Source organism: Homo sapiens, chromosome 11 (assembly GCF_000001405.40).
Source record: "Homo sapiens chromosome 11, GRCh38.p14 Primary Assembly".
In the NCBI taxonomy this organism is placed as follows: Eukaryota; Metazoa; Chordata; class Mammalia; order Primates; family Hominidae; genus Homo; species Homo sapiens.
Window position 1 is genome coordinate 33,276,721 of NC_000011.10, and position 27,279 is coordinate 33,303,999.

General features: G+C 39.4%; 1 protein-coding gene across 6 annotated transcripts in view; it reads left to right on the forward strand.

Moving 5' to 3' along the window:
- The window catches only part of HIPK3 (homeodomain interacting protein kinase 3), a 100,352-nt gene that overhangs the window by 20,049 nt on the left and 53,024 nt on the right, over positions 1-27,279 (forward strand). For all 6 annotated transcript variants that reach the window (NM_001278163.2, NM_005734.5, NM_001048200.3 and 3 more), the window contains exon 2: positions 9,693-10,791. In NM_001278163.2, the coding sequence (NP_001265092.1) occupies positions 9,695-10,791 (1,097 nt within the window). In that variant the 5' untranslated portion in view covers positions 9,693-9,694. The remainder of the gene's footprint in view (positions 1-9,692; positions 10,792-27,279) is intronic.

Sequence of the window (27,279 nt, forward strand, 5' to 3'; positions counted from 1 at the left end):
TTTGAGATAGAGTCTCACTCTGTTGCCCAGGCTGGAGTGCAGTGGCATGATCTTGGCTCACAGCAACCCCTGCCTTCCGGATTCAAGTGATTCCCATGCCTCAACTTCTTGAGTAGCTGGATTACAGGTGTGCACCACTACACCCAGCTAATTTTTGTATTTTTAGTAGAGACGGGGTTTCATCATGTTGGCCAGGCTGATCTCAAACTCCTGACCTCAAATGATTCACCAGCCTCGGTCTCCCAAAGTGCTGGGATTACAGGTGTGAATCACCATGCCAGGGCTGTATTTTTGTAATTTAAAAATAAACAATTACTAAAATAGGTTATTCCTATTCTCTGATAGATTTTTTACCTTCTTTATTTAAAAATTAATGTAAACCCAGGCTATGAAAGTATAGGGAGTAATAGAATCACTTCCTATGCAACTGTCATCCAGTGTGCAAAATAAATTTGAGGTCCCTTCCTTCTCTTTTCTTCCTTGACATGTCTGTCATTTCCATGCATGTTTTTATACCTTTACCACATATAAAACATGGTATAGTTTTGTCTTCTGTTAACTTTATAATAAATGATACATGCTCTTCTGCAACTTTTTTTGTTCTATATTTTGAGATTTATGTACGTTGATATATGTAATTTCAGTTAATTCATTTTGCTGCACTTCATCAGTTCTAGCACATTTCCTCCTAACATTTTAACATCTTTGAAATTGGGATGCATCTTAAAATCGATGATGTCTTGACCTAACAATTGGTATATTTTCTTTTTTTGTGGTACATAAATATATAATAATTGTGATATGAGCCACACTTGTACTGCATGCTTTGTATTTTATGACTAAGCCACAATATCCAGTCCTTTTCTGACAATTAGATTATTCTGAAATTTTGATACTACATATAGTGCTGCAGTGAACATTAATTTACCTGTTTCTTTGTGCATATTTGTGAGAATTTCTCTAGATGGAGTATACACCTGGGAGAAGAATTGCTGGATTATAGAGTATGTCCATTTTCAGCTTTGCCCTCAAAAGTGATTGTACTTCTTACCCTTGTATAACAGTTCCTGTTGCCCTATTCTTCAACAGTGGATGTTGTCCTACTTCTTTTTGCCAGTTTGGTGGCTATAAAATGGCATAAAATAAGACTTGGCTTGTATTTCCTGTCTGTGAATTGTCTGTTTATATCTTCTGTCCATTTGTCTACTCAGTTTTACCAAACATAATATGACTTCTTTAGATCTCTTCTCAGTTACGTGTATTGCAAATAACTTCTCTATGTCAGTGGCTTATCTTTATTTCAGGTATCATTTGATGAATGAAAGCTTTAAATTTTAGTAAAATCAAATTTGTCATATTTTCCCTTCTAAGAGTGTGTGTTTTTTACATCTTCTTTAAAGAAAACCTCTCCTTTCTGTCAGAGGTTGATGATTAATTTGTTAAAAATATAACTAATTTTAAACTAAAAGGAATAAAAATTATAAATCTTTATGAATACATTTTGTGCTATGTAAGAAAAGTGTTAATTTTCTATCTATAATTTTACTAGAAAGAGGAACTAGAATTTAGCCAAGAATATTGGCAGGCTGTGGTGGGAAATAATCAGGAAGAGATGATAGGTCAAAGGAAAAGAAGGACAATATTTTGAGGACAGAATGTGAAGGGCTGTGTTTATAGGAGCATAAACTCATATCTCAGGGTTTGATTGAGATAAGGGAGGAAAGAGAAAACTGTGAGAAATAACTGGATCCATGTAAAGACCAAAGTAGGAATAGGAGAGGGACTTGGTAGTTGGTCAAGAAGCACCTACTTGTGTTTCTTGGTGTTGCTGGTTTCTTTGTTTTTTTAGCATGCTCACTGTACTTAATGTCACTGAACAGTACATTTAAAATGATTTAAGATACACGAGGTCAGGAGATCGAGACCATCCTGGCTAACATGGTGAAACTCCGTCTCTACTAAAAATACGAAAAATTAGCCGGGCGTGGTGGTGGACGCCTGTAGTCCCAGCTACTCGGAAGGCTGAGGCAGGAGAATGGCGTGAACCCGGGAGGTGGAGCTTGCAGTGAGCAGAGATCGTGCCACTGCACTCCAGCCTGGGCGACAGAGCGAGACTCCGTCTCAAAAAAGGAAAAAAAAAATGATTTAAGATAGTAAATTTTATTTATTTTTACCGCAATTTTTAAAAAGGAAAAGATTTTTAAAATGGAGATTTGAACAAATAGAAGTAAGTTGAGTAAGGAGAGTGCAAGGCATTATTACCTTTTATTTAATTTATTTGTGATATCAAAGTACATTTAAAAGAAGAACCCAGTCAGGCCTGGTGGCTCATGCTTGTAATCCCAACACTTGAGAGGCTGAGGTGGGTGGATGGCTTGAGGCTAGGAATTTGAGACCAACCTGGCCAACATGGCGAAACCCCATCTCTACTAAAAATACAGAAATTAGCCAGACATGGTGGTGTATGCCTATAATCCCAGCTACTTGGGAGGCTGAGGCGCGAGAATCACTTGAACCTGGGAAGGCGGAGGTTGCAGTGAGCTGTGATCACGCTACTGCACTCCAGCACTCCAGCGCAGGCAACAGAGGGAGACTCTTTGTCTCAAAAAAAAAAAAAAAAAAAAAAAAGAGAAGAAGAAGAACCCTATTACATATGTAGTGTATGTAAGTTTGGTCAAAAATAATTCAGAAATTTCATATTGGCAAATAAATTGAATATAACTTGGTAAAGTATTTGTTTCTGTTTTCTCCCTCCCTTTTCAGATGGGCTAATATTATGTGTAGTAAAAAAAGATGGAAACAGCCCACTATGGTTAGCAATGATCAGACTCATGACTATGGGTGTCAATATTGATTACATTGCTGGTTTGGTAATTATAAAAAGATGTGAACAGTTTGGATAGAGTAGTTCAGATGCGACTTAAAGTTTGTTAGAGGATTGGAAAAATAAGATGTATATGGTAGTCCATTTGGGCTGCAATAATAAAATCCCTTAGACTGGGTAATTTCTAAAGAGCATAACCTTATTGTTCACAGCTCTGGAGGCTAAGTTCAAGATCAAGGTGCCAGCAGATTTGGTGTGTGGTGAGGGCTCACTTTCTCCTCCTTCAAAGATGGCGCCCTTTTGCTGTATCCTTACGTGGTAGAAGGGGTGAACAAGCTACCTCAGGCCTCTTTTATGTAAAAGAGCACTAATCCCATTCAGAGGATAGAGCCCTCGTGATCTACACCTCCCAAAGTTCCCACTTCTTAATACCATCACTTTTGGCGGTTAAGTTTCAACATACAAATTCTGGGGGAGCTGAGGGGAGGTGGGGGGGACACAAACATTCAGACCATAGTAGGTTAAAGAACCTGAAATTATTAATTCTAAGGAATGAAAGCTTAATGGTTGCTCTAATAGGAGTCTTCACTATCCTCTGAGTAATATTTTATGGACAGCTCCAGCTCACAAAGGGGTAGTATTTCAAAACATCGTTTCTTAGTTGATAAGAACAATTGGCAGGGTCATGAATAATACAGCTGCAGAGGACAACACAGTATACATTGCAATGAAAAATAGGAAATAGTATTGTACTAAAACAGTATTTTGGACCATGGGCTTCAGCTCCTGGGAATATAGTACTTTGTAAAATCCATAAACACCAGATACTAGCAAGTCGTGAGTATGTCTGATGGAGGGTAGGAGAAGGAAAAGAGTTAATACCTGGATATATCAGGGAGTCACAGTGGTCAAGTTAATAAGTAATTTATAGGTCTTTTCTTATGGTCTTTTATACCTGTCTCCAGCACCACCACCTATGCCTTCTGATGAACTATAACTTGCATGATATTCCTATCTGTGTTTATTTTCTAAAGTCCCTTTTGAGATAGGTTCACAGAGCATAGTGGCTGGGAATTGGCTGGTGAGGGATAATGACACTTTGTCCAAACCCTGGTTGGAGCCCTGGGTTGATTGATTGCCTTCCAGCTTGGCATGTTGGGAAAGAAAAGCTAGGAATGGCAGGATCCAGAAATTGCAGCAGTTTTAAAAATTTCTCTATGTCAGTTATCAGCTGTTCACACAATTTAACATGGCATGAATTAGCCTAGAGTGGTGTGCATTGATCTGATTCCCTGGCACTTCATCCTGTTTTTTCAGACTTGGGGGCCCTGATTTGGTAGGACTTGAATTTGCCTGTGGTTTTTGTATAGACGAGATCATTGGTTCTCAGATTTTAGTGTGACTCTACATGGCCCTGGGAGCTTGTACACTTTCAGATGCCTGGACCTTATCACAGACCTACCACATCAAAATCTTTCTGATTAGAGTTTTATGTGTATATTTACTTATTTGACTTTTTTTTTTTTTTTTTTTTTTTTTTTTTAAGGCAGAGTCTTGCTCTGTCGCCCAGGCTGGAGTGCAGTGGCACGATCTTGGCTCACTGCAACCTCCACCTCCTGGGTTCAAGCGATTCTCCTGTCTCAGCCTCCCGAGTAGCTGGGATTACAGGCGTGCGCCACCACACCTGGCTAATTTTTGTGTTTTTACAAGTGTGAGCCACTATGCTTGGCCCTTATTTAACTTTTCATTAAGGAAAAATATAAGCGTATTCAAAAGTAGACAGGATAGCATAATGAACTCCAATATACCCATCATCAGGCTTCTGTAAATAACAGTTTATGACTCATTTCATTTTCTCCATATCCCCATCCACTTTTTCCTCTTCTATATTATTTCAAAGCAAATCCCAGATTATTTTATTTTTAGATACATATGTTTTAATAGGTTCCACAGATGATTAAAAAACTTTCTTGGAACAGGTGATACATGTATGTAGTAAAAAAGGATGTACAGTGAAAAGTAATTCTTTTCATTGCTGCCAGTATTGTTACTCTTCACCAAGGCAAAGAAACCCTCAATTTCTTTATATATCTATAGATATTCAGTGCATATGCAAATATATGCATATAATTCCTCTTTTTAATTAAACACACATGGTAATATCTATTGTAAAGTATACATTTTTTGAAATCTTGCTTTTTTTCAGGTAGCAGTATTCAGAATCAGGTGAATAGCAAGGCAAATAAGTTGTTTTCATTCTTTTTAAATTGGTCCATGTGTCAAGGTCTGTTTAGTACCTTTTGATGGATATGTAGGTTATTTACAGTATTAGGTTGCTTTACACAGTGCTGCAGTGAATATTCTTTTATATTGTCTTGAGTTGCCTGCATTTCTAGGTCAGAGGATATGTTCATTTGCAATTTTGTTAAATATTGCCAGATTGCCTTCCCACCATCTGTATATGTATGGTGTACTGTTCTTCTATATTTTTCATGTCTCTCTCATGCTTTCCTTTAAATCCACAAGTGTATAATAGCTGTTTTAAAATTTATCTGTTGGCCAAGCTCAGTGGCTCATGTCTGTAATTTCAGCACTTTGGGAGGCCAAGTCAGGAGGAGGATTGCTTGAACCCAGGAGTTCGAGACCAGCCTGGGCAATATGGCAAGACCCCATCTCTACAAAATTTAAAAATTAGCTGGGCATGGTGGCACATATCTGTGGTCTCAGCTACTTGGGAGGCTGAGGTGGGAGGATCGTTTGAGCTCAGGAGGTCGAAGCTGCAGCAAGCCATGTTTGTGCCATTGCACTTTAGTCTGGGCAACAAAGACTGTCTCAAAAAAAAAGAAAAAAAATTGGGCCGGGTGCCATGGCTCATGCCTGTAATCTCAGCACTTTGGGAGGCCAAGGTGGGTGGATTACTTGAGGCCAGGAGTTCGAGACCAGCTTGGCCAACATGACAAAACCCTGTCTCTACTAAAAATACAAAACATTAGCTGGGTGTGGTGGCAGGTGCCTGTAATCCCAGCCACTCGGGAAGCTGAGGCAGGAGAATTACTTGAACTTGGAAGGTGGAGATTGCAGTGAGCTGAAATCACGCCACTGCACTCCAGCCTGGGCAATAGAGCGAGACTGTATCAAAAAAAAAAAATTATCTGTGAATTTAATCATCTCTTTTTCTGAGTCTATGGGTATGGGTTACAGAAGTGGTTTGTAAATTAGGAGAATCATGGCAATGTTAAATTATCGAGTAGGGTGTAGTGGTTCGAACCTATAGTCTATTTGAGATTACTTGGGAGGCTGAGGTATGAGGATCATTTGAGAACAGGAATTCAAGACCAGCGTGGGCAATACAGTGAGACCTAGTCTCTTAGAAAAACTATTGCAGATAAGATTGGAAGCCTCACAAAAGTGCCTTAATGGATGAGTTTGATACATATAGCCGGAGTTTTCAGTGTGTTTTTTCTTCATTAAAAGAACAATCAGTTGATGGAGTTTCAAAATCTTTTCTGAGTAAAGGTATGGAATAGATGTCAGTAGATGCCAATGAGATGTTTGGAACTCCAGAATTTCTTTTTTTTTTTTTTGAGACGGAGTCTCCCTCTGCCGCCCAGGAAGGAGTGCAGTGGCGCGATCTCTGCTCACTGCAACCTCTACCTCCCGGGTTCACGCCATTCTCCTGCCTCAGCCTCCCGAGTAGCTGGGACTATAAGCACTTGCCACCACTCCCGGCTAATTTTTTGTATTTTTAGTGGAGACGGGGTTTCACCGTGTTAGCCAGGATGGTCTGGATCTCCTGACCTCGTGATCCGCCCACCTCGGCCTGCCAAAGTGCTGGGATTACAGGCGTGACCCACCGCGCCCAGCGGAACTCCGGAATTTCAATTTATAATTTTCTCTTACAGAGTGAACATCAAGTCTTAATTTGTCTAGTAAGGTTTTGTAGCAGATTTATTAAGGTCAAGTCAACTTAGGAATGTGGTAGACTGTGCACAAGAAAACTTGTAGGAAGCTATAGGAGGTATAAATTTGCACCTTTTATCTGAAAGGTGGTACGTTTACTTGTTCCTTGTACCATACCTTAGCTATTGACTATGGGCCAGTTACCTAGTCTTGGTAAACTTCAGTTTTCTTTTTTTTTTTTTCTTTTGGAGACGGAGCCTCGCTCTGTTGCCCAGGCTGAAGTACAGTGGCGCGATCTCGGCTCACTGCAACCTCTGCCTCCTGGGTTCAAGCGATTCTTGTGCCTCAGCCTCTCCAGTGGCTAGGATTATAGGTGTGCACCACCACACCTGGCTGATTTTTGTATTTTTAGTAGAGAAGGGGTTTCACCATGTTGGCCAGGCTGGTCTCGAGTTCCTGACCTCAAGTGATCTGCCCGCCTCGGCCTCCCAAAGTGCTGGGAATACAGGCATGAGCCACCGTGCCTGGCCAACTTTAGTTTTCTTAAAAGCAAATTGGAAAGATATTGCTATGATTAGATAAAATATTGTAAATAAAGTGTTAAACTGTTGCATAGTAAGTGCTCAGTAGGTAGTTGCTCTCATTTTTAATATCGATATTACAGATTGATGGTAATCTGTGGATTCTGAGTTAAAGAACTGATGTTTGTGATTTGTTATAAGAGTAGGAGACCACATAGTTAATATAATACAGATTTTTAAATTGTAGAAAATGAAGATATTTCAACCAACCAACAAGCCAACATTTATTGAACACCAACTCTATATCCTTGGCACTTTGCTTTAGATCTAGTGTGAAAGACAGATATATACACTGACAATTACAATATAATGAAATGTTGTAATCGCAAAATGAGAAGAATTTAGGAACTACTGTGAGAGCACTGAATGCTAACCCCTGCCTAGAGGGTGAGTTTATATGTTTCAGGAAAGGCTTCAGCAAGAAGATATTATTTTACTTTGATTGAAATCTGAAAGAGTTTTTAAAGTGTTCAATAGTAGATGTGAGTCTGGGTGCAGTGGCTCATGCCTATAATCCCAGCATTTTGGGAGCCTGAGATGAGAGGATCACTCAGGCCAGGAGTTGGAGGCTGCAGTGAGCTATGATTGTGCCACTGCACTGCAGACTAGGCGAGACCTTGTTAAAAGAAGAAAGGGTAGATGTGCAGAAAAACATTAAGAGAACATAATGCAAAGTTCCTGTATCTGGCTTCTCAGCTTATTTTTACACTTGATCATTTGTATTAGGATTTTACCATTAGGGAAATTCCAAGATAATTTTGTGCAAGTAGAAAACATGGAGTATTACTTAAAGTGATGATTCTGTCAAATGGTGGTTTTGACGTACACGTTTATATATTGTTGTGGCAGACCAAGTAGATGGAAGGCAGATCTAACACCTGTGTAATTATCAGTTTTTCTAGCTATGGTACTGAGGATTCATTCTTATGTGTGTATATGTTTTGAGTTCCTATAGATAGGTCAGCAGTTGCTAGGTTGATTTCATATTTTATAAATTCTAATTTGGTAAAATAAGGTCATAGGGGAGAATATTAAATATGCCAGAATAAAACTGGATCCTCTTTCATATCTATGTTATATCTGAATCAAATAATGTTTATAAAATCATTATACATTTAATGGTTGTGTGGTAAGAATGTTGGCTATTTCAGCCTCAATAAACTCACATCCTTTTTGGATGCAGGCATAAAATAAATAGAATGTCATTTAGTCCTTGAGAACCTTAGAATGATTTTAAATCTGTTTTTCAAATATGATTTGAAATTTGATTTGAAAATATGATTTGAAAATTTCAAATATTTTCCAATATATTTGGAGGAAGTTTAAAGGAATATCCATATAATAAAGTACACATTGAGAAGAATGGGAACATGAATATAACTGGGTAGAAAGTCATTAACTTGTCTTTGTAATATAATGCTTTTTAAGATCAAAGGATAATATTTTTAGTAAATAGAATGTAGCATCAGCTATTCATGAAATTGGCACCCTAATTTTATTTAAAATCCCTGCCATAGGTGGGGCATAGCGAAACTCTGTCTCAAAAAAAAAAAATATATATATATATATATAGTTAAAGCAGACATAGATTTTTTTTCCTCCTGAGGCAATTCTTGGGCTTTAGGTTTAAGAAATATGGCTATAAACTATGTTTATATAATGTATATTTTCTTTTCTTGTCATTGGTTCATACATTTGAATTTGGTAATAGAATGTTTTACTTTTGTCAAATGTGTACAGTTAAAGGATCTGTACTTTTTTTTTGAGACAGAGTCTTGCTCTGTCTCACAGGCTGAAGTGCAGTGGTGCAATCTCGGCTCACTGCAACCTCCACCTCCCAGGTTCAAGCGATTCTCCTCCCTCAGCCTCCCGAGTAGCTGGGACCACAGGCATGCACCACCATCCCCAGCTAATTTTTGCATTATTAGTAGAGTTGGGATTTCTTCACCGTGTTGGCCAGGCTGGTCTTGGACTCCTGACCTCAAGTGATCCAACTGCCTCAGCCTCTCAAAGTGCTAGGATTACAGGGATCTATACTTTTCTTTTGAGGGAAAATGTTGGCACCGTTTCTAGGGCATATTGGCCATTTCAGCTTCTCAGTAAATATTTGTTAAGTAATTAAATGCACTTGATTCTTTATTCTTAGCCTTTTAACGCAATACTCAGAATAGCTGAAGCACCAATTAACTGAAATGGAGATATTATAAAGATAGTTATCTTCTCCAAGGGAAAAAATCATCTTCATGGAAATTAATTACTTTTTTACAAATTGTGAATTTGACCCTTAAGAGTTTTCTTCCTGATATTTAAAATTGAAAAAAAAATTGTTGACATTAATATTTCTTCTTTCCTTTTTTTTCTTTTCCTTTTTTTTTTTTTTTTTGCAGGTATGGCCTCACAAGTCTTGGTCTACCCACCATATGTTTATCAAACTCAGTCAAGTGCCTTTTGTAGTGTGAAGAAACTCAAAGTAGAGCCAAGCAGTTGTGTATTCCAGGAAAGAAACTATCCACGGACCTATGTGAATGGTAGAAACTTTGGAAATTCTCATCCTCCCACTAAGGGTAGTGCTTTTCAGACAAAGATACCATTTAATAGACCTCGAGGACACAACTTTTCATTGCAGACAAGTGCTGTTGTTTTGAAAAACACTGCAGGTGCTACAAAGGTCATAGCAGCTCAGGCACAGCAAGCTCACGTGCAGGCACCTCAGATTGGGGCGTGGCGAAACAGATTGCATTTCCTAGAAGGCCCCCAGCGATGTGGATTGAAGCGCAAGAGTGAGGAGTTGGATAATCATAGCAGCGCAATGCAGATTGTCGATGAATTGTCCATACTTCCTGCAATGTTGCAAACCAACATGGGAAATCCAGTGACAGTTGTGACAGCTACCACAGGATCAAAACAGAATTGTACCACTGGAGAAGGTGACTATCAGTTAGTACAGCATGAAGTCTTATGCTCCATGAAAAATACTTACGAAGTCCTTGATTTTCTTGGTCGAGGCACGTTTGGCCAGGTAGTTAAATGCTGGAAAAGAGGGACAAATGAAATTGTAGCAATCAAAATTTTGAAGAATCATCCTTCTTATGCCCGTCAAGGTCAAATAGAAGTGAGCATATTAGCAAGGCTCAGTACTGAAAATGCTGATGAATATAACTTTGTACGAGCTTATGAATGCTTTCAGCACCGTAACCATACTTGTTTAGTCTTTGAGATGCTGGAACAAAACTTGTATGACTTTCTGAAACAAAATAAATTTAGTCCCCTGCCACTAAAAGTGATTCGGCCCATTCTTCAACAAGTGGCCACTGCACTGAAAAAATTGAAAAGTCTTGGTTTAATTCATGCTGATCTCAAGCCAGAGAATATTATGTTGGTGGATCCTGTTCGGCAGCCTTACAGGGTTAAAGTAATAGACTTTGGGTCGGCCAGTCATGTATCAAAGACTGTTTGTTCAACATATCTACAATCTCGGTACTACAGGTAGGTAACAACTCCATACTTTTTGGTTGTTTATTAATGTGAAATTTCTGCTAAATGAAATACTTTTGTGTGTGTTTGTGGTAGAAGAGACCACTTCAGTTAAATAAGGAAATCAAGAGAGGATCAATTTAGGTTCGTTTTAAAGAGATTAAAAAAAATCAAGACATAAAATCTACCCAAGCAGGATAGAAATCTCCACTGCAAAGTTCCATGCCAAAGACATCTGGTTATTTTTATTTTTAATGGAAGACTTGAAGGAATGATAGGTGATTAATAATGATCAAACAGAAGTCTTTAAATGTTGGAAAGTATTTACATTAATCTTTGTATATATCATTGGGCATTTTAGCACTTGAGAGAAATAGTTTATTAAAGATATAATCAATCATATGTAACTGAACATTTAGAAAAATTATATACAGGTTTGAGTAGCCCTTATCTGAAACTTTTGGGGCCAGAAGTGTTTTGGATTCCAGATTTTTCCGGATTTTGGAATATTTGCACTGCCAACTAGTTAAGCACCCCCAAATTTGAAAATTCGTTTCCTTTGAGTGTCATGTCAATGCCCAAAAAGTTTCAGATATTTGGATTTGAGATGCTCAACCTGTATAAGGATTCAGAAAGTTATTCTGATTAATGATTTTAAGATTCAGATATACAGCCGGGTGCAGTGGCTCATGCCTGTAATCCCTGCACTTAGGGAGGCTGAGGCGGGTGGATGACCTGAGGTTAGGAGTTCAAGACCAGCCTGGCCAACATGGCGAAACCCCCATCTCTACTAAAAATAACAAAAATTAGCTGGGTGTGGTGGTGGGTGTCTATAATCCCAGCAACTTGGGAGGCTGAGGCAGGAGAATCACTTGAACCCAGGAGATGGAGGTTGCAGTGAGCCGAGATCATGCCATTGCACTCCAGCCTGGGCCACAAGAGCAAAACTCTGTCTCAAAAAAACAAAACAAAACACAAATATACTTCTTTGGCTCCCGTGACTCTTTAGGTCACCTGATCATAACCAGTTTTATTATGTTCTATCCACATATATGCTATGGGTAATGCTATTTTGGTCTTGCTTCTTGGGGGAAGTTAAAGAAGAAAATAATGCCCATGTAAGTATTGATAAAGTGCTACAATGTAACACTAGCCTGAAGTGCAATAGATAGTATGAGAGGCTAACTAATGATTACCAAGATTCAGAATACTGAAAACTCATTCTGGAGTGTAAAATGGCTTTGAATTCATAGTTTGATAACTTTGAGCTTAAATTATTTTCATATAAGCCTGAGTGAATTTATGTTCTTGGTATTTGCTAAGCCCTACGAGGTCCAACATGATGGACCTGCCATCAAATACAGACAAATACAGGATCTGCCAATATTGGTCATTCATGCAGTTTATTGTTAGAAATGGTTAGAACATGGGGGATATAAATTTAGACCCACCAAGGAGTATATTCTGATACTGCATTTGCCTTTCACTGTACCTGATTACCCTTCTTGCAAGTATATGCTATAGTGCCCAGTATAAAATAAAGGAGAAATTAATTAACTCTTACACAAATCATCTCTAAATACATGCCCTACCAGTAGGTTATCAGAAAGAATTGCCCATTTATGTCACTTAGTGTTAGTAAAGCTTATTAAAATATGTATTTGAGCTGGGCTTGGTGGCTGACACCTGCAATCCCAGCACTTTGGGAAGTGGGAGGATCGCTTTAGGCCACGAGTTTAAGATCAGCCTGGGCAACAGAGCGAGACCCTGCCTCTCCAAAAAAAGAAAAAAAATAATGAGCCAGGAATGTTGGTAAATGCCTGTAGTCTTAGCTATTCAAGAGGCTGAGGTAGGAGGATCCCTTGAGCCCAGGTGTTAGAGGCTACAGTGAGCTATGATAATGCCACTGCACTCCAGCCTGAGTGACCGAGTGAGACCCTCTGAAAAAAAAATAAAGTGTGTATTAGGAATTAGAAATAACAGCCTGATATACCTTTAGTATATTCTTTTTTTAAAAACATTTTTATTTTTATGGGTCCATAGTAGGTATATATATTTATGAGGTATTTGAGATATTTTGATATAGGCATACAGTACATAATAATCACATCAGGGTAAATGGACTATCCATTGCTTCAAGCATTTGTCATTTCTTTGTGTTACAAACATTCCAGTTAGACTCCTTTACTTATTGTTAAATGAACAATAAATTATTTTTGACTGTGGTCACTCTGTTGTGCTATCAAATACTACATATTATTCATTCTAACTATTTAGTTGGACCCCTTAATCATCTCTACTCCCTACCCCCATCTACTACCCTTCCTAGACTCTGGTAACCATCATTCTACTCTATCTCCATGAGTTCAATTGTTTTAATTTTTAGCTCCCACATATGAGCGAGAACATTGTGAAGTTTTGTCTTTCTGTGCCTGGCTTATTTCACGTAACATAATGTCCTTCAGTTCCATCCATGTTGTTGCAATTGACAGGATCTCATTCTTTGTATCCATTGTGTATATATGTATCACATTTTCTTTATCCATTCATCTGTTGATGGGACACTTAGGTTCATTCCAAATCTTGCCTATTGTGAATAGTCGTGCAGTAAACACTGGATTGTAGATATCTCTTTGATAGACTTTCATTCTTTTGGCTATGTATCTTAGTATATTCTTGATTGTATGGGTTTTAGTAGTAGAGTGCTAGATACCATTAAAACTTTTCAGATCATTTAAAATTTTAAATTTGCTGTTGCAGGGTAGTAGCTCTTGCTTAGTATCACATAATTAGATTTATTAGATATCTGTGCTCCGCAAAAGATTTTTTTTTCAATATACAAGATTAGCTTTTAATTTTTTTCTGGAAAAAAATTGTAAAATCTTATTTAACAGTATGAGAAGAATAGTAGTTTTTGTTTTTTTCTTTCCCTTGGTACTCTATGGATTCTGTCTTGAGAGCTTTTAGTAGTGAGCTAGCATATTATATAAACTCCCAGGCTTCAGCTGCTTGGGCCCTATATTTAGTTCACTTGCTAGTAAATGACTTCACTTCATTTGGGTCCTGCATTATTCTGCATATCAGAATTACCTCATTTTCTTTATTTGAAATCTTTTTCCACTAGAGTTAAAAAAAAAAGTCTTTTTTTTTTTTAATACTTGAGAATGTCTGTCGGTTTACTAAATCTTTCAAGGGAATGAAGGAAATCCTTTAAAAAGCAATCTAAAATGCTGAATATTTTATGATACTGGTTTCTAGCATTAGGCCTTTGCACAAATACTAGCCTTTGTATTAGGAATGAACAAATCTATGAATAATTGCTAAATACAGTTAGTAGTTTCTAATTTGTGTTTATATATAAATTTCAGGTAAATAATTTACCCGACGTTCAGAAGCTATACAATTGCTATGCTAAATTACAGGCTCTGGGTTTAGAGTGAAAAATAAGAGGCTCTTATTTGTAAACAAAGACTAGTGCAGGCATTTTGGTTGATGTTGCCTCGATAAAAAACTAAAAATAGATTTTATGTCATTTAGATCCAAGAGTTAGAAGAGTTAGTAAGTATTCAGGTATATCAGTGAAAATATATTGTAGTCCTTAATCAGGTACTGTTTTAATATCTAGTGTAATTTTGCATGAAAATGGCAGATACCACTACTCTGTTTAAGTATTTGTTTGTACTTTATTTGGGACCCTGCCAATTCTGGCCTAGTTTATGACTAGGTTACTTATAAATCTGATAAGGCAGTAAGCTAAAGTGTCTTATACTTGATTTTTCAATTTTTGTTAAAATATTTTTTATTTCATAAATGAAAGCAGGAAGTGGAAACTAACCAAATTAAATATTTTTGAGCAAAGCACAGTAGGAATGCACATATCCTGATTTCTGAGGTAAACGATTTGTGTTTAAACTCAGGTTTATGTGTATTCTATTTCTTTGTGCAACACAGAAGTGTAGTAGGGATATCTTAAAATAGACAGGGGACAGTGGCCAGAAATTGTTGACTACTATAGATGGTGAGGCTGTCTAACTCTTGCAGTGATACAAGCCAGAAGTACGTGCTAAGGGCATTGATTTGCTTAAGGTCAGCATGTTCTAAATTGAGCTGCTTGAGTATGGTTTCTGTCAAGAACACGTAGGGCTCTTAAACGTGTAAAAGGCTTTAGCGGCAGAAGGTGCTGTATTTATGAGGTGTGGTGGCAACATTTAGGTCATGAATTTCTTTTTCTTTTTCTTTCTTTCTTTTTAAATATAGAATTTTAGCCTGCGATTCTAAGTCATTTCAGAACACAGAGACAGGAAAGTGGGCTGTAAAAATAACCTGTGTAGCAGTTATATTCTTTGCTACTCTACTGAGTAATTTAGCATTAATTGCTGTTGAGTTTTAAAAAATGCTATTTTGCATGTAATAGTTAACAAAAAGGTATGTAATGATAAACAGTTAATTTAGACATATTTGTTCTTTCATGGCATTCTTACCTCTCATGCCTTCTTAGATCCAGAAGTATCAAAGTTTCTGTAACAAAATTAAGCTACATAGGAAGACCCGTAAAATAACGGCTAATATTTTACATAGGGTACTTTATGATGAAACACCGTGTATGTATAATGCATCATTTTTTCAAAGTGCCTTTCGTTATATTTTCTAGTTTGTTTCTCACTTCTCTATGGGGTAGTTAAGACTGGGTGGCATTATTCTTTGATAAGGAGAAAACTGGGACTTATGTAAGTCAGACAGGTTCAAATTCACACTGTAAGTTTAACTTTACAAATTTTGTTAGGCCTTTTTGGGTGCTGGTACAGTGCTAGGTGCTAAGAATACAAAGGTGATTTATGTATGTTCATTAATTTATTTGATTAATGATTTCATCATTTAATGGAGGGGAAAAATAGTTTGCTTCAAGAAATGCCAGGGTGGAGAGGTGTGTGCAGGGTGATATAGGAACCCAAAGGAGGGCTCCGAGCCTGATCTGAGGGGCAGGGAAGGCTTCTAGGGGAGCGATGACCCCAGAATGACCCTTGAGAGCACAGCAGAGAAGGAGCCAGGGTTGACTGGTCTTGAGCATTTTCTCTCACTAAGCCACTCTTAACCTAAAAAAGCTCAGCATTGGGATGAAATTGCTGGTGATTTCTTTTGTATATCATAAAGTAGTTGTTTGGGAACCTTTATTAGACAAATACAAGATTGTCAATTGAGTTTAGTTTTAATAGAAGATTAGGAAATTCTAAAATGAAATGGTTTTCTTTTTTTTAAGATGGAGTCTCGCTCTGTTGCCCAGGCTGGAGTGCAGTGGCACAATCTCTGCTTACTGCAAGCTCCGCGTCCCGGGTTCACGCCATTCTCCTGCCTCAGCTTCCCGAGTAACTGGGACTACAGGCGCCCGCCACCACGCCTGGCTAATTTGTTTTGTATTTTTGGTAGAGACGGGATTTCACCGTGTTAGCCAGGATGGTCTCGATCTCCTGACCTTGTGATCCACCCGCCTCAGCTTCCCAAAGTGCTGGGATTACAGGCGTGAGCCACCGCTCCCGGCCAAATGAAATGGTTTTCAGCGCCATACCTGTGGCTGCAAATGTGTAGTACTTTACTACATAAAGGACTTTACATAGACACAGATAGTCGACTACATATATCGGGCCTTCTATTAAAAATTCTAGCAGAGCTCTTAAGTTTTTTTGTTTTGTTTTTGTTTTTAAAAACAGCTTTATTGAGATATAATCTACATACCTTGAAATTCATTCATTTAAGTATACAATTTAATGGCTTTTAGTATATTTATAGTTGTGCCATCATCAGCACAATCAATTAAAATTTTAAGTTTAAAATTTTTTTGGCCAAATTATTTCTCACCTGACACAATTTTTGAATATTTACATTACCCTCAAAAGAAGCCCGTGTGCCTTTTAGCCATTGTTCCCCAGTCTGCCCATCACCCCCAGCCCTAAGCAACCACTAATCTACTTGCTGCCTGTGTAGATCATCTATTCTGGACATGTCATATACATGTAACCATACAATATATGGTCCTTTTCGACTGAGTTTTTTTTTCACTTAACATAATATTTTCAAGGTTCATCCATGTTGTAGGATGTATCAATACTTACTACTTTTTATTACCAAATAATAAACCATTGTGTAGATATATACCACATTTTACGTATACATTCATCAGTAGAATGTATTAAAATTGTGTCAATGAAAAGATATGTGAATAGAAACTGTAATATGGTCCAAGATTAAATATCAAAATACTTTAGTGCCTCTAAAATGTAAAGTGTGGTGCTTGGTGCTGCTTGTACAGGAGGAGAACAAAATGAGTCTCTGCTTTTATGGTGTTTGCAATCTAATGGGTAGACAAAGAACAAAAAAAAGTAGTTGGAGAGGCTGAGTGCCGTGGCTCACACCTGTAATCCCAGCACTTTGGGAGGCCGAGGCAGGTGGATCGCCTGAGGTCAGGAGTTCGAGTCCAGCCTGGCGAGCATGGTCAAACCCCGTCTCTACTAAAAATGCAAAAATTGGCCGGGCATGGTGGCAGGCACGTGTCAGGAAGCTGAGGCAGGAGAATCGTTTGAACCCGGGAGGCGGAGGTTGCACCAAGCCAAGATCGCGCCATTGCACTCCAGCCTGGGCAACAGAGCGAGACTCCATCTGAAAAAGAAAAAAAAAAAAACGTAGTTGGAGCAAGGAGAGAGAACAAGAGAAGTTTAAACTTTTTTAGTTCCTTTTTTTTCTTTAACTTTTACATTGAAATTATCTTCAACATACAAAATAAGTAAATTTAGGCATACGAAAAAAGTTGTAAAAAATAGTACAAAGGATTCCTGTTATCCTTCATGCAGATTCCCCAGTGTTTCACGTTAGTGTTTGACCACCCTAGTTTTATCAATCATTCTCTCTTTACACACCCACACACCCACCCTCACCTACCCACCCACCTACCTTTTCCTACAGGGTGTGATACGAAGTTGCTTTACCTCTAAATGCTTCAGTGTACATTTCCTAAACATAAGGACATTCTCTTGCATAACTTCAGTACAATTATCAAAATCGTCATCAGTTAACATCAGTTCAATATTATTGATTTGATGAACTGTTTAAACTATTTTTTTTTCTTTTCTTAAAGACAAGGTCTTGCTTTGTGGCCCAGGCTGGAGTGCAATGGTGCAGTCATAGCTCACTGCAGTGTCAGACTCCTGGGCACAAGCAATCCTTCTGCCTCACACCTCCTGAGTAGCTGGGACTGCAGTCATCAGCCACCCAGCTCATGAATGCAATTTGGTTTTGAGGAAATTAAAATCAACTCAATACTGTTAGCTAATTTACTGACTTTATTTAGATTTTGCCAACTGTCCCACTAATGGACCTTTTTTTCTCGTGCAGAATTCAGTCCTTCATCACATGTTTACATTATTTGCCCTGTCTCATTAGTGTCCTCTAATCTGGTGATATATCATAATGATGTCATTCTCATGTCTCAAAATGGAGTCACTCATGTCAAGTAGCATTGAGCTCACAGCAAAGTCGCCCCTTCCCCCCCAGCGATAAACATATGTAATGGACTGCTGTGACAACATCTGCCCTCACCGGGTACCACCTGAGACTTGAAACGAACCCGTAGAAAGTGAAAGGTGGCTGAGATAATGAGAATAGACCCATTTGGGAGGATCATAAAATGTGCCAGGACGAGACGCTTTTAGAGGCTGTGCCCAGGAGACCTCTGAAGCTTCCTCCCGATTTGGCATCTGCTGCCACCTGGAGAGAAGCAGCCACCACCGCCCCCCCCCCACAACTCCACCCCATCCCCGCCCATGGCATCCGAAGGACTTCGGGACTGTTCGGCTCATCTGTTTGCCTGTTGGTCTCCCTAGCCAGGGTTGTGCTTTGTTCCCCACAACCCCCTTTTCTTCTGCCTCTGTGTTGAATATTGGTTGTGTGATTGGTTGGCTGTGGAGGCCTCGCAATAAAACGTGAATTCAAGCTTATGTTGCGTCGTTATGAAACCTTCGGGCGTAGGCTCCGCCTGTGGTCGGAGTCAGCGCACCTGCGCAGAACCTCGTTCACATAGTACCCAGGTTAAGGCCCGACAGCTGCAGCAGCTCCTTACATCTTTCTTTGCCTTCATGCCTCTGACACTTTTGAAGCGTACTGGCCAGTTATTTTGTAGACTGTTCCTCAGTTTGCTTATGGCTGATGTTTTCTCACGATTAGATTCAGGTTTTGCACTTTTGGCAGGAACTTCACAGAACTGATGTTGTGTCCACACATATTGAGAGGCGCATGATGTCAATTTGTCCCATTATTGGTAAGGCGAACTTTGATCACTTGGTTGAGGTGGTGTAACTGCCAGGTTTTTATCACTATAAAGTTACCATTTTTTTCTTTGTAATTAATAAGTACAATATCTTGTGGAGAGATACTTTGAGACTATTCACACGTACTATTTCTTATCTTGTATTCACTGACCAATTTTAGCATTGTTGATGAGTTTGGCCTTAACTGAGGTTTGCCAAATGGTTTTCTAATTCTGTAGTTCCTCTATTAGGAATTCTTCCACAAGAAGAGCTTTTTTTCCCCCTCCCTTCCTTTCTTTCAGTATGGACTCATAGATTTTTGTTTAATTCAATGGGTTGTAAATATCACTCATCATTCTTTGTTTTGTTCAGTAAATTATCCCAGATGGTTCAGAGAGAGCATCTTTCTTTAGGCTTTTTCCAGTGTCCCTGTGGTATGGCCGCATCCTTTCTTCAGGGTTTACTTTCTGGCACCACAGATGTTCTGACTTACCTTGTGCTTTTTCTGTCCAGCCCTTGGATTGGACCTCTAAGGAGCACTTGTTCCTTTTATTGGAGAATGGCTTTTGGAAAACAGGACCTGGACACAGGTCAGGTATGCTCAGTGGTTCTAGGATATTACTTCTTTTAGGTCTTTTGAGTGGCAAAGTTAGAAAATATAGAAGCATACCTTGTTTTCTTGTTTTGCTTTATTGCATTTCACATATACATGCTTTTTACAAATTGAAGGTTTGTGGCAACCTTGTGTCAGGTCTGTTGGTGCCATTTTCTCAACAGCATGCGCTCATTTTATGTCACTTTTTGGTAATTAATGATATTTCAAACTTTATTATTATTTGTTACAATGATCTTTGAACAGTAGTCTTTGATGTTACTATTATAATCGTTTTGGGGCACCACAGACTGTGCCTATATAAGATGGTGAACGTAATAAATGTGTGAGCTCCGACTGCTCTAACAACCAGCTGATCCTTGGTCTCTCCTTCTCCTCTGGCCTCCCTATTACCTGAGACACAACAATATTGAAAGTAGGCCAGTTAGTAACCCTGCAGTGGCCTCTCAGTGTTCTAAGAGAAAGGAAGATCTCATGTCTCTTGCTTTAAATCAAAAGCTAGAAATGATTAAGTTTAGCGAGGAAGGCGTGTGGAAAGCCAAGGCAGGCTGAAAGCTAGGCCTATTGTGGCAAACAGTCAAGTGGCGAATACAAAGGAAAAGTTCTGAAGGAAATTAAAAGTGCTACTCCAGTGAGTAGTAAATGGTAAAAAAGCAAAACAGTGTTATTGCTGATATGGAAAAGATTTTTTTTTTTTTTTTTTGAGATGGAGTCTCTCACCCTGTTGCCTAGGCTGGAGTGCAGTGGCACAATCTTGGCTCACTGCAACCTCTGCCTTCTGGGTTGGATCAATTCTCCTGCCTCAGCCTCCCGAGTAGCTGGGATTACAGGTGCACACCACCACGCCTGGCTAATTTTTGTATTTTTAGTAGAGACGGGGCTTCGCCATGTTGGCCAGGCTGGTCTTGAACCCTTGACCTCAGGGGATCCACCCAACTTGGCCTCCCAGAGAGCTGGGATTACAGATGTGAGCCACCGCGCCCTGCTGGAAGAGATTTTTGTGGTCTGGATAAGTGATCAAATTAGTCACAACATTCCCTTAAGCCAAACTCTAAGCCAGAGCCAGGCCTTAACTCTCTTCAATTCTATGAAAGTGCAGAAAGGTGAGGAAGCTGCAGAAGAAAAGATGGAAACTAGCAGAGGTTGATTCATGAGGTTTAAGGAAAGAAGCCTCTCCATAACATAAAAGTGCAAGGTGAAGCAGCAAGGGCTGATGCAGAAGATCTAGCTGAGATCATTGGTAAAGGTGGCTACACTACACAACAGATTTTTAATGTAGATGAAACAGCTTTATATTGTAAGATGATACCATCTAGGACTTTCATAGCTAGAGAGAAGTCAATGCCTGGCTTCAGAACTTCAAAGAACAGGCTTTTTTTTTTTTTTTTTTTTTTTTTTCTTGAGATGGAGTCTTGCTCTGTCACCCAGGCTGGAGTGCAGTGGTGTGATCCTGGCTCATTGCAACCTCTACCTGCCAGGTTCAAGCGATTCTCCTACCTCAGCCTCCCGAGTAGCTGGGATTACAGGGGCGCACTACCATGCCTAGCTAATTTTTGTATTTTAGTAGAGACAGGGTTTCACCATGTTGGCCAGGCTGGTCTTGAACTCCTGACCTCAAGTGATCCTCCCTCCTTGGCCTCCCAAAGTGCTGGGATTAACAGGTGTGAGCCACCGCACCCAGCCAGAACAGGCTAGCTTTGTTGGGATAATGCAGCTGGTGACTTTAAGTTGTGGCCAATGCTCACTTACCATTCTGAAAATCCCAGAGCCCTTTAGAATTACGCCAAATCGACTCTGCCTCGACTCTGCCTATGTTCTAGAAATGGAATACCAAAGCCTGGATTAGAGCATATCTATTTACAGCATGGTTTACTGAATATTTTAAGCATGCTGTTGAGACCTACTGCTCAGAGAAAAATATTTCAAAATATTTATTACTACACATTAACAAGGCACCTGGTTACCCAAGAGCTCTGATGGAGATATATAGGGAGAATAATATTGTTTTCATGTTTGCTAACACAACATCCATTCTGCAGTCCCTGCATGCATCAGGGAGTCATTTTTACTTTCAAGTCTCATTCTTTAAGAAATATGTTTGGTAAGGCCATAGCTGCTATAGATAGTAATTCCTCTGATGCATCTGGGCAAAGTAAATTGAAAACCTTCTGGAAAGGATTTATTGTTGTAGATGCCATTAAGAGCATTCATGATTCATGGCAGCATTAACAGGAATTTGGAAGAAGTTGATTCCAACCCTCATGGATGACTTCGAGGGGTTCAAGACTTCAGTCTTGAGGAGGTAACTGCAGATATGGTGGAAATAGCAAGAGAACTATTAGTAGAATTAGAAGTGGAGTTAGTAGAATTAGAAGTGGAGTCTGAAGATGGGACTGACTTGCTGCAATCTGACGATTAAACTTGACCTATTGACAAGTTGCTTCTTTTTGTTTGTTTGTTTTGAGATGGAGTCTGTGTTGCCCAGGCTGGAGTGCAGTGGTGCAATCTTGGCTCATTTCAACCTCCACCTCCTGGGTTCAGGCAATTCTCCTGCCTCAGCCTCCCAAGTAGCTGGAATTACAGGTGCCTGCCACCATGCCTGGCTAATTTTTGTATTTTTAGTAGAGACTGGGTTTTACCATGTTGGCCAGGCTGGTCTTGAACCCCTGACCTCAAGTGATCTACCTGCCTCGGCCTCCCAAAGTGCTGGGATTACAGGTGTGAGCCACTGTGCCTGGCCTAGACGAGTTGCTTCTTTTGGATGAGCAAAGAAAGTGGTTTCTTGGGCCGGGCGCGGTGGCTCACGCCTGTAATCCTAGCACTTTGGGAGGTCGAGGCAGGTGGATCACGAGGTCAGGAGTTCAAGACCAGATTGACCAATATGGTGAAACCCTGTCTCTACTAAAAATGCAAAAATTAGCCGGGCACAGTGGCAGGTGCCTGTAATCTCAGCTACTCGGGAGGCTGAGGCAGGAGAATCGCTGGAACCTGGGTGGCAGAGGTTGCAGTGAGCCGAGATCATGCCACTGCAATTCCAGCCTGGGCTGCAGAACGAGACTCTGTCTCAAAAAAAAAAGAAAAGAAAGTGGTTTCTTGAGATGGAATCTAATGCTGGTGGAGATGCTGTGAACAATTGAAATGATAGCAAAGGATTTAGACTATTATATCAACTTAGTTGATAAAGCCAGCAGCAAGGTTTGAGAGGATTGGCTCCAATTTTGAAAGAAGTTCTCCTGTGGGTAAAACATCATTAAATAGCATCGCGTTCTACAGAGAAGTCTTTCATGAAAGAGCAAATCAATGTGGCAAACTTTACTATAGTCTTTGAGACATCGTTGGCCAGGTGCAGTGGCTCACGCCTGTTATCCTAGCACTTTGGGAGGCTGAGGTGGGAGGATCATGAAGTCAGGAGTTCCAGACCAGCCTGGGCAATGTGGTGGGACCTCATCTCTACAAAAACACAAAAATTAGCTGAGCTTGGTGGTGTGTGTCTGTAGTCGTAGCTTCTTGGATGCTGAGGTGGGAGGATTGCTTGTGCCTGGGAGGCAGAGGTTGCGGTGAGCAGAGACTGTGCCACTGCACTCAAGTCTGGGTGACAGAGTGAGACCCTGTCTCAAAAAAAAAAAAAAAAAAAAAAAGAAAGAAAGAAAAGAGGCCAGGCACGGCGGCTCATGCCTATAATCCCAGCACTTTGGGAGGCTGAGGCGGGCAGATCACAAGGTCAGGAGTTCGAGACCAGCCTGGCCAACATGGCGAAACCCTGTCTCTACTTCTACTAAAAATACAAAAATTAGCTGGGCGTGATGGCAGGTGCTTGTAATCCCAGCTACTCGGAAGGCTGAGGCAGGAGAATCGCTTGAACCTGGGAGGCGGAGGTTGCGGTGAGCTGAGAGATCTTGCCAGTGCACTCCAGCCTGGGTGACAAGAGCAAGACTCCATCGCAAAAAAAAAAAAAGAACTTGCAGCCATTTTAACCTTCAGCAACCACCATCCTGATTGGTCAGCAGCCATCAACATTAAGGTGAGACCCTCCACCAGCCAACCAGCCAAAGTATTACAACTGAAGGTTCAGATTCCTGTTAGCATTTTTTAGCTATCAAGTATTTTTAAATTAAGAGCTATACATTTTTTTAGACATAATGCTGTTGCACACTTAATAGACTACAGTATAATGTAAACATAACTTTTATATGTACTGGGAAACCAAAAAATTTGTGTGACTCACCTTATTGGGGTATTTGCTTTATTGTGGTGGTCTGGAACCAAACCTGCAATATCTCTGAGGTATTCCTGTATGTTGATATATTTGTGGGTGTTTATGTGTGTAGTATTTTTTTGTTTTGTTTTTTTGAGAGTCTCACTCAGTCACCCAGACTGGAGTACAGTGACATGATCTTGGCTTACTGCAACCTCCACCCCGCCGGGCTCATATGACCCTCTCACCTCAGCCTCCTGAGTAGCTGGGACTTCAGGTGCATTCTACCATGCCTGTCTAATTTTTGTATTGTTTTGTAGAGACAGGGTTTTGCCATGTTGCCAAGGGTGAGCTGAAGCAATCTGCCAGTGTTGGTCTCCCAAAGTGCTACAATTACCACACCCGGTTTTATGTGTATATTTCTATGTCTATCTGTTTGTATATTAAAATCATAAATTCATGCTGATATGTCCAATTTTGATACCTGAGAGTTTGTTCTTTCTTATGTGTAATCCCTCATTTGACACCAAGAAACTGACTCTCATTAGCCACAATATGTTACTTATTTGCTCAATTTTGGAATACATTTAAAGGAGTTTTAGAATTGTTCACCCCTGCCACTCCTAATTTAGTAACCAGAGTACAACATGTATTTGCAGCTCTTTTATTCTTTAGCCTGAGACTTGGAGTATGTAGTCAAAATACTGTGTTCCAAAGTTACTTAGGTTAGTTCCTCCCCAAACTCCTTCTCTCCCACCTTCAGTGTGATTATGTTATTATTTTTGAAATACAGTTAAGTTTATTTGTTTCTGTTTGTATTCCATTTTGGGTCTCCCATGTCCTTGTTGATTGATTGATTTCACCATGTGCAAAATTAACATGTTTCTAAAAATCAGAACTAAGGGTGAGGTATAGTGTCTAATGCCTGTAATCCCAGCACTTTGGTAGGCCAAAGAGGATTGCCTGAGCCCAGGAGTTCAAGACCAGCCTGGGTAACATATTGGGACCCCATCTCTATAAAAAAAAAAAAAAAAAACTTGGGCATGGTGGAGCACACCTGTAATCTCAGCTACCTGGGAGGCTGAGGTGTGAGGATCTACCTGTCAGCTATCTGGGATGCTGAGGTGGGAGGATTACTTGAGCCCAGGAAATCAAGGCTGCAGTGAACTGTGATTGTGTCACTGTACTCCAGCCTGGGCAACAGAGTGAAACCCTGTCTGACACACACACACACACACACACACACACACACACGAGTACAGTACAGTACCTTGCTTAGAATATTGTCCTTGGGCTCTGTGCCATGAGAATATATTTTAGATAGGTCTCTTAAGTACTTTTATATGTACTGGGAAACCAAAAATTTGTGTGACTCAGGAGACCTGTACAGTACCTAAGGAATGAAACTCCTTAGAGGGAGAGGGAGAAGCAATACTACTACTTTACCATGTACTAAATTCTATTCATTTGGAAACAGCATTGTAATCAATCTAGATATCTAAAGTGTTAGATCCTGTGAAGGTTATCTAGAATCCCTTTCAGTTCCAGAATTCTATGATTCCTGTGTGCCTAGACACTTGTAACTTCTAGGTTCCTTCCTTCCCAATTTTTCCTAACTGCCCTCCATTCCTTCCTGAAATGAAAAATGGTATCATGTTTCACATCTAATCATTTTCCTACATTTTAATGAATCCTTACTTGATTCTCTCCAATGAACTTCTCTATGATAATTCCTTACTTCTTTTTTTTTTTTTTGAGAAGGAGTCTGACTGTTTCCCAGGCTGGGGTGCAGTGGCACAATGCCTACTCACTGCAACCTTCGCCTCCCTGGTTCAAATGATTCTCCTGCCTCAGCCTCCCAAATAGCTGGAATTAGAGGCACCTGCCATCACACCTGGCTAATTTTTGTATTTTTAGTAGAGAAGAGGTTTCACCATGTGGCCAGGGTGGTCTCGAACTCCTGACCTCAAGTGGTCCACCCACCTTGGCCTCCCAAGTGCTGGGATTACAGGCATGGGTCACTGTGCCTGGCCACTTATTTGTTGTTATATAATGGTAAACCAGTGCGTTTGATTCAATAAGTGATTTCAATAATATGAAGAAGATAAGAATAATAATATAATCAAATTTGCATAGAACGAGTGGACCAGGAGCTGTTAATTTTAATCTTAATGCTATTACTGATTTTTATATGTGACTTTTGAGGCTACTTAATTTTATATGTTTGTACATTAATGAGTTAAAGTATGTATTTCTATCCTCTTTCCTTAGGTGTGACATTAGATTGTAAGACAGTAATACATAGATGTTAAAGAATACTAGTTAGGCATAGGGCAAAAACATTTTTAAAGGCTTGGTCACAAAGTGAGTTTATTTAATTCTGTACACTGTAGCTGTAAAATATGTAGTAAATGTAATACCATGCAAACCAGTCTGATCTGTCATTTCATATCAGGTTTTAATGACTGTATTTAAGAATTGTTTATACCCATTAGATGTGGTTGTCCCTTGATATCTGAGGGATTGGTTCCAGGACCCCCCACGGACATCAAAATCCACAGACACTCAAGTCCCTTATATAAAATGGCATAGTATTTCCACGTAACCTATGCACTGCCTCCTGTATACTTTAATCTCTAGATTACTTATTATAATGCCTAATACAATGTAAATACTTTGTAAACAGTTATTATACTGTATTGTTTAGGGAATATTTACAAGGAAAAAAAGTCTGTACGTGTTCTGTACAGATATGATCGTCTGTTTTTTAATCTGTGGTTGGTTAAGACCATGAGTGTAGAAACTGCAGGTACAGAAGGCTGACTGTAGTTACTCGTAGGTTAAAAGAAGACTTTAGTGGTGGTTTTAAAATTTTTGGAATAAAAGCCTTTAATGTCAAAGGTTATTAGTTTTTTTTCCTTGTGCTATATATGTAGCTTTGTTTTAAAAGTGCATATAGCTTCATGAATGTACTATGTCAATAGAATGTAATGGTATCATGGATTAGATGTCCTTCCCGACCTCACACACTTCAAAATGTGTGTACCTATTTGTTCTGAGTCTTCAGCATTTTCCTGTGAATGGAATTCAGCACGCTGAATGTTATTAACAGCATGTGTGCCACCATGAAAGAGTGCCAGTTCAGTGGCCAGTGAATAATTTAGGCATCAGCTGGTGTGGCAAGATTGTATTACTTAGGACAGAGAATCTAATATGTGCTAAACTTTGACATTAAAAGGAACAAACATTTCTTTCGTGAGAAAACATTGCATTACAAAGAATGTCGTGTATATCTAAAAACCAATATACTAAATTAAAAATTATTTGATATATATGTGTATATATATATATTATGTTTTTGAAATGGAGTCTCTCTGTCACCAGGCTGGAGTGCAGTG